The sequence below is a fragment of the Homo sapiens genome, chromosome 12 (genome assembly GCF_000001405.40).
Source record: "Homo sapiens chromosome 12, GRCh38.p14 Primary Assembly".
Lineage (NCBI taxonomy): Eukaryota > Metazoa > Chordata > Mammalia > Primates > Hominidae > Homo > Homo sapiens.
In genome coordinates, this window is record NC_000012.12 from 9,547,878 (window position 1) to 9,564,543 (window position 16,666).

The 16,666-nt window shown below is 36.0% G+C and overlaps 1 pseudogene across 1 annotated transcript in view; it reads left to right on the forward strand.

Annotated features, from left to right (window-relative positions):
* The window catches only part of OVOS1P (ovostatin 1, pseudogene), a 127,984-nt pseudogene that overhangs the window by 99,591 nt on the left and 11,727 nt on the right, over nucleotides 1–16,666 (forward strand). The window contains exons 26-38 of the transcript NR_153413.2: nucleotides 3,576–3,746; nucleotides 4,562–4,706; nucleotides 6,100–6,205; nucleotides 6,644–6,872; nucleotides 7,118–7,247; nucleotides 8,822–8,940; nucleotides 9,652–9,703; nucleotides 10,492–10,575; nucleotides 11,298–11,471; nucleotides 12,233–12,314; nucleotides 12,940–13,096; nucleotides 15,068–15,099; nucleotides 16,283–16,448. The product of NR_153413.2 is annotated as an ovostatin 1, pseudogene (transcript). The remainder of the gene's footprint in view (nucleotides 1–3,575; nucleotides 3,747–4,561; nucleotides 4,707–6,099; nucleotides 6,206–6,643; nucleotides 6,873–7,117; nucleotides 7,248–8,821; nucleotides 8,941–9,651; nucleotides 9,704–10,491; nucleotides 10,576–11,297; nucleotides 11,472–12,232; nucleotides 12,315–12,939; nucleotides 13,097–15,067; nucleotides 15,100–16,282; nucleotides 16,449–16,666) is intronic.

The following is a 16,666-nucleotide window of genomic DNA, read 5'->3' on the forward strand; positions in this document are numbered from 1 at the left end:
TGTATTTTGTTGTTATTTTTAGCTTTTTCACTTAGAAATTTACTTCATTTTCATTAATTTATTTTATTGGGCTAGGTGTTTTTAAGCCTATAAGTTTTTCCATGATTTGTACTTTTGAAGTATCTCATAGATCCTGATACATAGCAATTGCACCATTTTTATTTTTCAGAAATTCTGTAATTTCTGTTTGTATTAACCCTTTCACTGAAAATTTACTTACTGGAGTACTTTATAATTTTCATATAAAAAGGAATTTATTTTAGAGTTTTCTTTTAAATTTCAAGTTCTATATCTTCATGGTCAGCAATATTTCCACCAGTATATTTTTGTGCCCAAATATATAATGAGTTTTTGCGAATATATCTCATGTGTTGAGAAGATATAGTCTCTATTATCAGTTTGTTTTCTATCCACGAGGTTGGATTATTTTGATCCTTTGTATTCTTACTTATTTTGTAAAATTTATTTAACCTTCTTCTGCTGAGTGATGTGTTAAAATACCCTACAAATAGTGCTCTGTTTCTTCTTGCATCTTCTGTAGTTTCTGCATAGATAATCATAACTGTTGTGCCTTTATTATGAATTGCAGCTTTTAGCAGTAAGTATTCTTCTCTATCTTGTTTGATGTCTTTTGGCCTTACTTCTACGATTTCCGATAACAGGAGGATTGCAGCCTTTGCATTCTTATTATTTTCCTTTACTTTTCCTTTGGATTTCACCTTTTGAAGTATGCACTTCACTTGTTTTTTGTATGAAGTACAGCATTGTGTTTTGTTTTAACTATGCATATCTTTGTCTTCTAAAGGAGAATAAAGTCTATTCACTCTATTGATATGATGTATGTGTTAGGCCTCAGCTCTATCATACTATTTTTCTTATGATTCTGTATTGTATTTAAAGCTACTTTATTTCTTTAGCTTTTATGTTTGTTTTTTGCTATCTTGCTTAAAGCTTCTTTGAGTATTCAGGCTAGCTTGAATTTTTATTTTAGTGGTTATTTTTATATTTACATATTTTATAATATCCTAATATCCTAATCTCATTTTTTCTTGCTTAACCTTAATATCTAGTCAGTTATGGCCGGGCGCGGTGGCTCACGCCTGTAATCCCAGGACTTTGGGAGGCCAAGGCGGGTGGATCATGAGGTCAGGAGATCGAGACCATCCTCGCTAACACGGTGAAACCGCGTCTCTACTAAAAATATTAAAAAATTAGCCGGGCGTGGTGGTAGGTGCTTGTAGTCCCAGCTACTCAGGAGACTGAGGCAGGAGAATGGCGTGAACCTGGGAGGCAGAGCTTGCAGTGAGCCGAGATCGCGCCACTGCACTCCAGCCTGGGCGACAGAGCGAGACTCCATTTAAAAAAAAAAAAAAAAATCTAGTCAGTTATTTTTAATCTTTGAGTCTTAACTGCTACCTGCACAACAGTCAGTAATCTCTAGTTTCCACTTTTCTCTCCCTCTTCTCTCATTTTATTGTTGCATTTTTCCTTTTTTGTCAGAATATATAATGTTTACATTCTGTATTGTTTCTCCTATTCATCAAGTCTTACTAATTTCCTGAGTCATCTTTTGGTTACATAAAGCTCATTCTCCAGGAGGCTGGGACGGGAAGATTGCTTGAGCCTGGGAGATCGAGGCTGCTGTGAGCCATTATCATACCACTGAGCTTCAGCCTGGGCAAGAGAATGAGAACCTGTCTCAGGAATAAATAAATAAAAATTTTTAAAAAGTGCATTCTCTGCTAGAGTCCTCAGGATATCACATAAGTATAGAATTCTCTGACATTTTCATATTCAGAATTATTTTTTCTAAAGCCTTAATAAATGAAAGACAGGTATTTGTATATTAAATCTTTGGTTTATACATTTTAAAATTTTTTGAAATGCTACCTTACTATTGACTTGCTTTGAATATGCCTTTTAATAGTGCTGACATTAGTTTAATTCATTTTCCATTATGGGCTACTTTATCTCTATGTCTGAAGGCCTTGAATGTTTTTTCCCCTTTATACTTAGTTTCAGTAAGAATGTGTTATTCTGTAGAAGTTTTGCCAGGTACACAGTGGAGTCATGCAATATGTAAACTCAAATCTTCTTTTATTTTCAGATAGTTCCCCTGAATTATAATTGTAAATATTGGTCTTTCCATTTTTTTTGTTCTAAAAAAATCTCTGTACATTTGTTGGATCTTCCTTGCCTGCTTTCCAATTCAATCACTTTGTGACCTGTTTTAATTCATTCTTTTTCAGTTTTGTTCTTTTGTTTTTCCTCTATGCTGCTTTTAAAGTTTTCTCTGAACAATTTTCTCTTGATGTCCTTGTACTTTAGAGTTTATTTATGATATAATTTTGTCTAGTTTTCCTGAGTTCAATAAAGCCTCATTTTATTTCTTCTTGGGTTTTGTCCATTTCTGTATTTTCTTAATTGAATTTCTGACTCATGGTGCCTTTTAAATACCTCAAATACATGCTTGAGAATATTTCACTCATGTTAAATTATTTTGGCATGGCTTTTCTTTGTTTACTTATTTATTTACTTAGTGACTTTAGTGGAGAGGTTTCATTAGCTGAAGTGTTTTGACTTGCATTTCCTATTTTCTCTTACAGCAGCTTTGTATGGAGTTGATTTTTTCTAGTTCTTGATATTTTGTGCAGGGTGTTCATAGGTGAAGAGCGCCCTTTCTATTTTTTTTTTTTAGTAAAATGCATTATTTTTAAAATGTTGGTGATGGAAATGAGGGTGGAGGGAGTTATTTTATCCTATGACATCCTTTCCTTTTTTAAATTCCCTGTATCCAAGGATCTGCATACCTCTTCTTGTGATCTGATTATTTCCCCTTAGCCATGTTTTTTGGAAGCTTCCACTTCCAGGCCCATTCACTCCAAGCCCTTTCCCTGTGTGCTGTACTGGGAACTGTTGAGTCCGAAAACTATAATTTGTATTTTTAACAATGCTAGACTTTCTCTTACCTGGAGTTGACTTGGTGTGTGTTTCTTCTCATTTCTCCATGCCATTCTGCTCTGTTTTTCTCTGCAGTCTCTTAAGCCTTCCCTCTGCAATAGCAGTAGAAGCTCTCTTGGCATTTGGTGTTTGTTTCTCTACTAAGAAATAATTTGAAGATCATGGTATTCTCTGAATTGTAGTAATGTTAGAGATATTAGTCATGAGTATCCTTACTTGTTCTCTTTGTTGATTTTATGTTTTCTTCAGAAGATTATGTAAGAAGATTTAAAATCAGGCAGCTAAGATTATTCTCCAGACTTAGAAATTCTAGCATTATAATTGATTGTCTGTACAATGGGCCTTGGATTAATCAATAGTCAGGCATTGCTTTCTTACATTCTCTCTTAAATCCTGCGCCCAAGCTGAGAAATTCTGTGAACATGACATCAGTTGCCTAAAACAAAACTGGTTTGCTCTTTCGAAAGGAAGAGCTTATGTGAAAATACTGGATTAAATATGATGGCCGTCCTCTTAAAGAAAAGAACAAAAATAAATGGTACAGTAGACAATTTGCCAATTTTGTAATTTTAAAAGAAGTGCTTAAAATTATTGGGAAATGTTTTTTCTCATAGGTGTATAACATGGTTCCAAGTATAGAGCCGTATGGTTATTTCTACCATGGCCTCAATCTTGATGATGGCAAGGAAGACCCTTGCATTCCTCAGAGGGATATGTTCTACAATGGTTTATATTACACACCTGTAAGCAACTATGGGGATGGAGATATCTATAATATTGTCAGGGTAAGATCACTAAGGATTTTGGAAAATATTTCATCGCAATTTTTAGTATTCATAATGCATATTAATGTTTTCTTAATTATGTAGTTTTCTTCCTATACTTTGAGATTCGTGTCTGTAATCTGCCAATAGAGTACATAGAAATTGTCTTATAAAAAGGAGATATTAATTTTGTTGATTTTAAAATTTTCTGCTGAAAATAAATCATGTAGCTATAATTACAAAACCTCACTTAAAAAAATAAGACAGTCTCCAATTAATACAATAAATCTTATGCAAAGATTGTCAAATCAAGAGGCTAAGAGAGTGTGGACTCCAGATATCCCTAGGCCATTAATGAGACATGCTGAGCCTTCCATGAAATAATCTTTATAATTAACATCACAAGTGTGTAAGAAAAGGGGTATTGAATCAGACAAACTTTATCAGGTTCCAGTTCTTTAATTTACTGAGTGTGCCGGGTGTGTGTGTGTGTGTGTGTGTGTGTGTGTGTGTTTGATGTTAATTAGGGTAATGATAGTGCTGATCTCATAAGTATTTTCCACTTAGGATGAAATGGAGAATAATGGAAAATACTTAGAAAAATGCTAGCACATAATAAGTGCTAGATAAATCATAGTGATTATAATTTTTTCTCTAAATTAGGGATTTTCCATAAGTCAAATAGAGGTAAGTTGACTTGTAACTTCTCAGACCTTTGTTAACACAGAAAATATGGATACTTATGATCCATTTATCTTTGCAATATAAATAATAGGCCTTTTATAGTTCTTGCATGAAAAGAATGAACAATATTTTTGTTGTTTGTTTCTTTAAAGAACATGGGTCTAAAAGTCTTTACCAATCTCCATTACCGAAAACCAGAAGTATGTGTGATGGAGAGAAGGCTGCCACTCCCTAAGCCGCTTTATCTGGAAACAGAAAATTATGGTCCAATGCGTAGTGTTCCGTCTAGAATTGCATGTAGGTAATCTTACATTTTTTTGTTGGGGGATGACCAAACCGCTTTGTGGAATTTAGTGTATTTGGGATAAACTATACAATTTTGGAATTTTATGTGTGAATTATGCCATGTTTTTGGCTACAATTAGACATCCTATAGTTGGATAAAGCAGAATAAGACAGACTAGACGTGCTTTTGGCTATAACAAGAAATTAGCTTCAGATGTGAGATGTAGTTTATTTTTATTGATAAAATACAATGTCAGAAATACAATCATGCTTCACTTAGTGATGGAGAATTTGTTCTGAAAAATGCATTGTTAGGTGATATTGTTGTGCGAACGTCATAGAGTGTACTTACGCAAACCTAGATGCTGTAGCCTGCAACACACCTAGGCTATGTGGTACAGCCTATTTTTCCTAGGCTACAAACCTCCGCAGCATGTGACTATACTGAATACTGTAGGCAGTTGTACCACAATGGTAACTATTTGTGTATCTAATCATTGCTAAACATGGAAAAGGCACAGTGAAAATGTGGTATACAAGATAAAAAAAGTTATACTTTTAAATAGGGCACTTCCCTGAATGGAGCTTGCAAGGTTAAAAGTTACTCTGAGTGAGTCAGGGTACAAATATATTTTCTTTCTTTACATTCTTATTCTATAAGCTTTTTCCTATTTTTTAATTTTCTTTAACTTTTATACTTTTTTGTTTAAAATGAAGATGCAAACACACACATTAGTCTAGGCCTATACAAGGTCAGGATCATCAATATCACTGTCTTCTACCTCCACATCTTGTACCACTGAAAGTTCTTCAGGGGCAGTAGCACGCATGGAGCTGTCATCATCTATGACAGCAATACCTTCTTCTGGAACATCTCCTGAAGGACCTGCCTGAAGCTGTTTTGCAGTTAATTTTTTTGATAAGTAAGAACAGTACACTCTAAACAGTAAACAGTATAGTATAGTAAGCACAAAAACCGGTAACATAGTCATCATTATCAAGTATTGTGTACTGTACAGAATTGTGTCTGCTATATTTTTATAGGACTGGCAGTGCAGTAGGTTTGTTTACAGCAGCATCACCACAAACCCATGACCAATGCATTGCAGTACAACGTTATGATGGCTTTGATGTCAATAGGTGGTAGGAATTTTTCAGCTCCATTATAACTTTATGGGACCACTGTAGTCTAAGTGGTCTGTCATTGATCACAATGTCATTATGTGGTACCTGACTGTGTAGAGGAACAGGCAATGTATGGTGATACAGGAAAACAGTCATAGTAAGTGACTGTGATACAGGAAAGTGAGGTGTTTTATGGAGACCTTACACCCTGATAATATATAGACCATAATTTGCAGAGTCCAAAGGCTAAATAAGGTACTTCTTCCTTTTTTTTTTTTAGCTAGTGGAATCAGAGGGGAGAATGCTGACTATGTAGAACAGGCTATAATTCAAACAGTAAGAACAAACTTCCCAGAGACATGGATGTGGGACCTCGTCAGTGTCGAGTGAGTTTTAACCATTTTCTCTCCTGTGTGTCTTTATTTCTATTTTCTTTTTCTTTCTTCATGTTTATTCCTGGGTATATAAAACAGTACCATATTTGTAAAATATGTATCATTGATTTGCATGTACTTATCATACATTTTATTTTATTTTTTTCTCTAGCATTGTTTTCCCTTCACCAAGAGTTTCTCTTCTATTCATTTTATGCAGACAGATTTAACCTGCCCCAATTAAAAAAAAATGTGGCGTTTAAAGAAAAATGACCTTTCCATACTCAAATTTTATAAAAATCCAGCTCTCACTATTTTTATCTAACGCCCCATCCAAACAATATAACTCACTTTTGAGCTTCAGTCAATACTTTTCTGCTTGCTCTGCACTTAATTTTAAGTTCTTGGTTCAGACAAAGAATGTGTTTTACCGATAACCTCTTCTTCCAGTTCCTCAGGCTCTGCCAATCTTTCGTTCCTCATTCCTGATACGATAACCCAATGGGAGGCAAGTGGCTTTTGTGTGAATGGTGACGTTGGATTTGGCATTTCCTCTACAACCACTCTAGAAGTCTCCCAACCTTTCTTTATTGAGATTGCCTCACCCTTTTCGGTTGTTCAAAATGAACAATTTGATTTGATTGTCAATGTCTTCAGCTACCGGAATACATGTGTAGAGGTGAGTTGTTCTGTTTGATCTGGAGGCAAAAATCTAACAAAGCTAAAATATTTCTTAATATTTCCATATTCTCTTTATCCTCAAATGCAAAATGCTACTATAAAGGTGTAAGACTTAGGTCCGTATTCCTCAAACAAATACAATTGCTTTCATTCACAGTGACAGTTTAAACAGTGTATTGAGCATGGTGTTTCATAGTGATGTGTGTTCCAGTGCTATCCTCATTGCCATGATTGTTTTCTTAGATTTCTGTTCAAGTGGAGGAGTCTCAGAATTATGAAGCAAATATTCATACCTTGAAAATCAATGGCAGTGAGGTTATTCAAGCTGGAGGGAGGAAAACAAACGTCTGGACTATTATACCTAAGAAATTGGGTAAGCAGCTATCTGTCTACACCAGTCACTCATGGAAAACCAGCCCATATTTATTGTCTCCATTTACTTTCCTTAAATTGTCTATACAAACGTGATTTTCTCCCTCACATTTTTAAAATTCTTATTGTAAATTCTCCATTAGAAATTCTAATCTATAGTAATCTAATTTCTGGTTGTTAATGCTGTGTAGATCAAAACCACCATTCATTTTTACAAGAGCATAATGTAATTAAAATACAATATAAATGCTAACTGGCATGACCTATCACGGACTATATGTTTGGCATATGCCATATCCCAAACGAAGGCCATGTTATCATTAATGCCACCTTAATTATTTGACTTCTCGCTGGGTCCTTCACCTACCATCATGAACCCAGGCCACCTTCACGAAAATTGCTGCTCCATCACAATGACCAATGAGGGAATTGTCAGGTTTGTAAATTTACTAGATGTGCCATGGGGATACCAAAATCACTAAATGATTGGATTGAGATCAAAAACTGAGAATATTGTCTTAGTGCCTATGCTATCTGCAAGATGGAAAAATAAACTTGTCTCCTATTGAAATATTGAAAATACATGGAATGGAAAAAGTTTAAAACTCTAGTAAACAAGGAATGCTAGATACAATGTGCGTGACACTTTTAATCACTACTTTTAAAAAATGGTCATTCAAATTTTCTTTAATGTACTATATTCATTGTATTATTTTAACAGCAAATAATATATCTATGAGATTATTTTAGCTCAGTTGTGATGCTGTTCTCAGACTATTTTTCTATTAGATTTGAAGTTTCTCAATATTTCTACTGCACAAGATCTTCAAAATCCTACCTTGGCAATTGAGACAGAATATTGTACCAACTTGTATAGTTTTATGACATTAAGTCGAAGACACAGTTTTAAGAGTGAAATAGCAAGCTTCCTGAGACAGAGAAACAATAAAACACAACAACAACAACAACAACAAAAAGAACAATATATTGGTTATGTATATTGGTATATAGTCACGTAAATAATAATAACCTTAAAGAATGATTGTTTTCAATCCTGTAATTTTTACAAGCAAGGAAACTGGAGATCAGTTCTAATTACATAATGTGAAATCAGGAAGTTTAAAAACAATGGATTCCTTGCTAGGACATTATTTCAATCCAGTGCCTATCTACTATATCATATTTTACTATGCTTGCTTGATTTTGGGAAGTTAGGAGCCCTAGTTCGCTGACATTATTAGCCTATATTGTCATAAGTAACCTTTATAAACAATCAATATCAAGAAATTGACTCAGACAACTTTGTAAAATGTTACTTTTCCTAAAATTTCTTAAGTTTTAATTAAGTAAATTTATCATTTAATGTAAGGAATCATGAAAATCATGGAACAGGTGAAATGGAAGATACCACATTATACCTAGGAAGGAGAAGAAATAAGTTATTTTGTTCTAAGCATTAACTTAATGATAGAATTTGGTTAATCCAATTCAAGACATGGTTCACAGACTCTAGTCATTTCTCATTACAGAAGGGACCAATGATCAATTTAATTTATATTTGGGAATGTCTTCCAGGTAAAGTGAATATCACTGTAGTTGCTGAGTCCAAACAAAGCAGTGCTTGCCCAAATGAAGGAATGGAGCAGCAAAAGCTAAACTGGAAAGACACTGTGGTCCAAAGCTTCTTAGTAGAGGTATGGATATGCAAACAGTCAAGCTTTTCCTGAAAAGAAACAGACATCTAAGAGGTTTTGTACTAAAAGATCTTCTCATTGAAGAGACTTAATTAGTTGACAACATTTACTTTTGACACAAGACATGCCATTTTAAATGAATTAAAACAGCATAAAGTTCATCCTTTCTTTAATTAATACCTCACCCAGGATAGTAAAACTTAACATTTGAAACAGACTTGACAATTTTTTGTTTGTTTCTGAGTCAAGATGTTTCCTGTACACCTATTTCTCTTCCTTCTCTTTTTCCGATTCTCAAATTCAAGAGACAAATCTACTTGTCCTGCACTCCCGTGCAGTTCCCGTCATCCTCAACAAGAATCAGCGCTTGTCAGAGGAACACTCTTGACTTGCCTCTTGGCACATCCCTGCTCCACAAAGCAATTTTAGTTGTTTACTGGAGATGCTATACAGGATCAGAGGAGCTGAGAGTGTCCCACAGTGACATCAAGATAATGCCTGTCCAAGCTACAGAACGCAGAGGCTAAAATGGGTGCCAGTGATGTCCCGTGCCTTCCAGATATGAACAAAAGGGGACCATGAGTTGGATCTTCTCTCAGGGATAAACTTGCACCAGCCATGCTTAAGTGAGCTGGTGCTTAATCACTTTTCCTTCATGGACAGAGGATCTAGACTCATTCTTCTGTGCTTGTTTGTGTTATTCTTTGACAGCCTGAAGGTATTGAAAAGGAAAGGACCCAGAGTTTCCTTATCTGTACAGAAGGTAAGAGGATCTTTTAGGGAGTCAAATTAGTCCTAAATAAAATTCACCAAAAGAATCAGTTCATGTCCTCTCCTTCCACATGAGTCCATGTGCCCTGTGATTTCACTTTAAATAACTCATGGAGGATTCTTGTGTTTCATGCTTTATCTTTATGGTATAAGTTTATCCATCAAAAAGAATATTCAGGAGGTGGTTTTTAGTTCACTTTCTGAGGCTGGTCTGCTCCTATCTATTTTTTTTTCCATCATGTGTATTCTTAGCTCCTCTTATGATATGGTTGTCACACAATATTGGACAATGAGATATTAGGATTGAGGCCCAATAGCACATAATATAATCTTGGCTTTTGTACTCTTAGGAGAAAATAACCCATAGATACTTCACTGCCCCTGCCCCTCAGTCTCCGGTTTTATGGCCATGAGGGGTATTATTTTACCTGGTTGATGGTGATCTGATTATACTCCTTTATCAGAGTCTTCAAGCTTTACCTTTTGTGTGTGTTGTTTTATGTGTTACAGTCAGTGTAGTTTTTACATTTTTTCATACATAAATAGTTCAGGCACTAAACCAGTGAAGAACGGGGGCCACAATCTAACACACAGATTTGTATGCCATTTTCTGAATGTACTATTATCCTAAACTGGGTCAAAACTCCAAATTCATCTCCTCTAATAAACAACTTGTAAAATAAAAATAAGTAATGGAATCTTATTTCCAATATGTTTATCCCCCAAATCTGCTGATATAAAGAAGCCATCACATTTTTTAAATCAGTATTTTCATTCTAGGTGCCAAAGCCTCCAAGCAGGGAGTTTTGGACTTGCCAAACGATGTAGTAGAAGGGTCAGCCAGAGGCTTTTTCACTGTTGTGGGTAAGTTGATTAAATTTTGTGTTTCACTATGATTTGAAAATCTTGGTTGAGGTGGTCTTTAAAAATCCTTAAAATAACAGAATGGAGAGATCTTCCTAAGCTATCAATTGGAGGGAATTATTGTTCAGATCATCCTCTATGTTTCCTGATGGGATCTAAAGGGATTACAGTACCGTTTCCGGACCTGTATTCCCAGGAAACCTTAGCTTGGGTAGATGGTAACTAGTGTTCAGAAAGCAAGAGGTTCTTTATAATCATTAATCTGAAATATGAAATTCACCTCTTGGAGAATCGAATTAACGTTGCCTGTTAATGATGTTGGGAGTTTTCTCAATAAAAGGAGAAATGTTTGTTGTTGATACGAAAGGCAAACTTCTTTGTCTGTTATTAACATGAACATCTCTTGGAAGGGATGGATTACACTTTGTAATTCATAGGATTGATTGATTAAAAAAAAAACTAGCAAACAAGCAAACAAATGCATTCTCCTAACTTCCTCCTCTCTCTAGTAATGAGATTTTCAGAAATATTTTTCATAGCAGTTTAACTTCACCCTTCATGGCTGTCTCTTCTTTCAAATTGCTTCATAAAACTTTCTTTGTTTCCACCATTTAGACTCAATTTTAAATGTTACCTATTCCACTATGCCTCTTTTGTCTATAGTTATTAATGCTGAGATGGCAACTATAAACAATACAGCTTTCTGCTTTTCCTGTTTTTAGGGGATATTCTAGGACTTGCCTTGCAGAATCTGGTTGTTCTCCAAATGCCCTATGGAAGTGGAGAGCAGAATGCTGCCCTACTAGCATCTGATACTTATGTTCTGGACTATCTGAAATCTACTGAGCAACTGACAGAGGAAGTTCAATCTAAGGCTTTCTTTCTCTTATCTAATGGTGAGAAGAATTAAGTAATTTCTGCCCATAATTGTTGAAAGCAATTGTTACTCATACCAAGACGTCATAAGCTGTTTTTATGCAGTAGTCTGGTGAAAGAAAAGTGAACCTGAACCGAGGAACTCTCAGTCCTAGCGCTGTTTTCCGTCTGACTTCAAAATCTGTGTGGTCAGCTAGCTTCATAATTTACAGCTGCAAAGTTTTCAAGCTATGCACTTAATTTTTTTTTAATGTCTGGTATTTTGCAAGCTACCTTGTTTATTGTTGTTATTATTGTTGTTTTTGTTAGGAGTTGTTGTCAGTGGTTCATCTATCAGCGTCTGTATTTGTTTGCTCAGCTGTGGTCTGTTGCAGTGAAGTGATTGGCTTTGTATACAGAAAGAGGGCCAATGTTGTGAAATGTGAGGTTAAGGACAAGTCCAGGAGCATAAAATAATCTTCTTTGGTTTTTCTTCTCAGAAAGATAACACTGAAATAAAATGACCTTAGGGGAAATATACTGAATAGTTAGTAGGTACCAATGACGAGGCAATTACTGAGCCAGACATATCCATGTGTATTATCTTGTGATCAAAATCCTATAAAGTAAGAGTTATTTTTTCTCCCTTATGAATACAGAACCTGAGTTTCAGAAGTTCAAATGGAAATGATCATCCTAGTGATTTGTGTCTAACACCAATACCTAGGGCTTGCACTGCACTATTCTTTCTCTTCTAACTTTCTTAGGTTAAAAAATAATTTCCTACAATGTTCTATTTTAGGTTATCAAAGGCAATTATCTTTCAAAAACTCTGATGGTTCCTATAGTGTGTTTTGGCAGCAGAGTCAGAAAGGAAGCATATGGTGAGACATAAAAATTTTATTTTATATAATATAGGAATTACCTGAGGAGGGCTTGCAAGGAGGTGAAGGAGGATAGAGTTCAGTGGGGATTTAGAAGCAAAGTGGGTTTCAAAGTCAATTTACGGAAGAGAAATAGATAAAACTAAAGATTTAGTGATTCCAATTCTAATGCAACAATGTTCCTTCAGTCTCATGACGATTTGCTTAGCAGTCTGATCCCTCATGACAGCCCCTATACATGCACCGCTGGTTAACTCCACCGAAGAGGGCACGTCTTACTCTGTGCTTCTCAGAGTCCCATATAGATTCGGGAAAGTGAAATTAGAAGGACCCAAAATACCTAATTACATCATTTCTCTCTCCATGTGCAGATAATCTAATGGGCTATATACAACAGGACCTTTGGGTGCAAACATGCTGAAAATTACCTACTCTAATTTCCACTTATTGCTAGTCATAATATTTTCCTGACCCAAAGGAAAGGGCCACTAACAATAAAGATGGTTTACAGTAGATGAGTTGAATGCATCCTTTACTCAAAGGGAACAGTGGTGATGAACCTGTGGAATTGCTGACATTGTCACTTCCTCTTTATCTAATTTTGCTTTGGTGATTTGTATTACAGACTCAGTGCTCTTACTTTTAAGACATTGGAGAGAATGAAAAAATATGTATTCATTGATGAAAATGTTCAAAAACAGACCTTAATCTGGCTTTCAAGCCAACAGAAAACAAGCGGCTGCTTTAAGAATGATGGCCAGCTTTTCAACCACGCCTGGGAGGTGAGAGAGGAGAAGCACCAGGCTTTCCTTGTTCCTGGGCATTGCCTGCCTTGCCCTGCCTCTGGCTTTCCTGATCTGGAATATGAATATTCTTCCTGTGCATATGAAACCTTCTGAGGCACTGCAGTCCTGGGCCTGTGGTGGGTTGGTCAGCAGCACCATTCCTGCTTTGTGCATGTTTAACTACAGCCTGGATGTGACTTCTTCTGAGTCTCTTGTCTGCCTTATTCAGTCTCTAGTCCTTCCCGAGTCAGTCCTCTTCAGAAATTAAACTAGAAATAGAAGGGAGGGGAGAGAAAGGGAACCTAGAAAAGAAACTTTCATAAATTTGGAGACAGTCAATGTATAAAGGGAGGGGGCTGTGAGTGTATGAGGAAGGAAAGTTTATTCCTGTCCATGAATGGCAAGAAAGTTCTGGGGAGAATATCTAGTAATTCATATTGTTTCAATGAAGCAAGTTTTTCTAAGACCCTCTCAAGGAAAAATTCAAAGGCCAAGCTTGCCCCGGGGCCAAAGTACAAATGAGGTGAAGTATATCCTTGGCAAAATCCAACCCTTTTCCTGTCCATATTTACGTAAATCCCTCCCTTCCAACTTCCTTTCTTTGCAGATACCTGTCCATCTCCAGCCCATTTTCTATCTCCTTTCCCCTCCTTTTTTTCCCTGTGGTTGCTCAAAATCTCCTATCATGGCATTTTAGCATGCTCTGATGGCCCCTGAAATACCCTGAGCTTTTCTTCAGCATCCTTCCTCATAATCATCACTCCTGTTCTTGAAACCCAGAATGCATATCTAATCCACACACTCTGATATTTAATTTGCATGCAAATTGTATTCAAATTGCTTTGTGGTATTTTTAATGTATTCCAAACTTATTCCTTACAACAGGAGGACCCTGATGGAGATGAGCTCTTACTCCTTCATAGAAAAATCAAAAACTTTCCCACGTTCTCTTCTAAAACATCTTCACATCTTTCTTCTTATTGGATTCATTACTGGTGAATCATTGCTGATTACTGCTACAGTTTGTCTGATCTTACCTAGTATTTTCTCTATAATTAAATATCTGTGTGGGTGGGTGTCTGTGTGTGTTTTGAGTTGAGAGAAATAAAAATGCAAGGGAAAAATCAAAGCTTACACTGCAGAGGAATGGTGATCCTACTTGCTGTAATTTAGATGTACTGACAGTCCTCGTACCTCATGTTAGTGTCTACCATATGCTGTTATTTCCATCTTAAACACTTGGTTTCTCAGAAGTATTTCTTTTCTGAAGAAGACAGGAGTTGTCCTTTGCTTAAATAGATAAAATGGGAAGCTTCTACAAGATCAGTAGATCCCAGATGCCATTCTGAATGCTATTTGCATCAGAGTCACTAGAGCACCCATTAAAATGCATTTCGCTGTCGTATTCCCAAGTTTTTTGAACCAGAATCTCTGTGTAGACACTGGTTGATTTAAATACCCCAGGGGACTTTTATGCACAGTCAGTTTGCAAACCACATGATTTATAAATGAGTTTCTCATTTTACACTGTAAGAATCTGAGACTTGATTCTGGTGATCTCCTAGGGTGCTTTTCCAGGAATTTCCAGGAATCTTCACGGCAACTTTCTGCTTCACCTCATTAGAAATTCTTTGTTGGCTTTTTTCAGATTTATACCAAGCGGAGACAAATAGAGTCCTGTGAATTCCTTAGAATGCATGCTTAACACCAGGCCACATAAATACGATTGAAATTAATTGTTATAACAACTTAATAATTATGATTTAATTATTGCATAGAGTCTGAATGAATTCTTGCTTAGATAGTATGATTATTAACCATCTAATTTAAAAACTACACATGTTCGGGTGTTTTTATGAATAATGGTATTTGTTCCAGTATTTTTTTCATACCTAGTTTTACTTCAAAAGAATACTTGCTATTTTGTGCTCTGCTGTCCCGAATGACTCATTGTTCCTTTGTTTTCAGGGTGGAGATGAAGAGGACATTTCACTCACTGCGTATGTTGTTGGGATGTTCTTTGAAGCTGGGCTCAATTTCACTGTATGGATTCCCGTCATTTCTGATTTCAGGCAGCTGAATGCACATTCAATAGACTGTAGAGTCAGAGTCACTTGAGATTCTAAGACTGGATGAAACCCCGAGATAACATTTAGTTTATTACCACCCTTTAAATTCATGCTGTTCAAACTGTTTTTCATTCATAGACAGCTTTGAAAAACAGGATTGGGTTTCTCCCTAGGGAGAATACACATATGCACACAAAAAAGAGTTATTCACACAATTGCAGGCATTCACATCTCTCCTGAAGTTCAGCCATGAATTTCAGATTAAGAACCACTGTTCTAAGTAAAGCCGTGGCCTAGTATTCTGTTTCTCTCTAAACAATAAGTGAGTAAACATTTTCAACTTAAGTGTGGCTCACCCTAGCCACCTCCCAATCCATAGATTAGATTTCCAAAATCTATTCCTGAACTAAGATGCTAGGAATTGTCAGGGTCATTAGTATACCCTGAAAATTATCTTCACAAATGTAAGCCTCTATTTTAGGCACTAGAAAAAAAAAAACTCTTAGGCCTATGATAAATTTGGATGCTTTGCCGCATAGAAGACATTCATAACTAAAATATCACTGATCAAATATAAAAACTGCCATTTTCTTACTAAATTTCATTGGGCCTGGCATGGTGGTTCATGTTTATAATCCAAGCACTTTGGGAGGCTGAGGTGGGTGGATTACCTGAGGTCAGGAGTTCAAGACCAGCCTGGCCAACATGGTGAAACCCTATCTCTACTAAAGATACAAAAATTAGCTGGGCTTGGTGGTGCATGCCTGTGATCCCAGCTACTCAGAAGATGGAGGCAGGAGAATCGCTTGAACCTGGGAGGTGGAGGTTGCAGTGAGCTGAGATCATGCCACTGCACTCCAGCCTGGGTAACAGAGCAAGACCCTATCTCAAAAAAAAATTATTGCTTAGGTACTAATAATGACATTATAAATTTATTTTAATGATATTTTTGAAGGATAAAATATATGTGTATATATAAATGGATTTGTATGTAAAATATACTTTGAGGATATATTATATATATTATAAACAATGATTAGTTTAAATGTTCAACAAGTTCATGGAATGTTCGGGTATCAGTTTACAATATATGATTCTTCTTCCTGACCAACAGTTTCCTGCTCTACGAAACGCACTCTTTTGCCTTGAAGCGGCATTGGACAGTGGTGTCACTAATGGCTATAATCATGCAATTCTAGCTTATGCTTTTGCCTTAGCTGGAAAAGAGAAGCAAGTGGAATCTTTACTCCAAACCCTGGATCAATCTGCCCCAAAACTAAGTAAGCGTTATTATTCATTGTTGCTAATGGAGGTGATCTTGGAGCACAGTGAGGAAGCGTTCTAAGCAGTCACATAGGAGCTCCCTCTTGACGAGTATGTTTCTGTTTCTCTTATGGAATTTATCAGTGGCCTTTATACCTTTCAAGAACGCTACATATTCTAGACTTTCCTCTTTTGCTTTATGCTAGCTTCCTCTCAAATGAGTGATGTCAGGGGA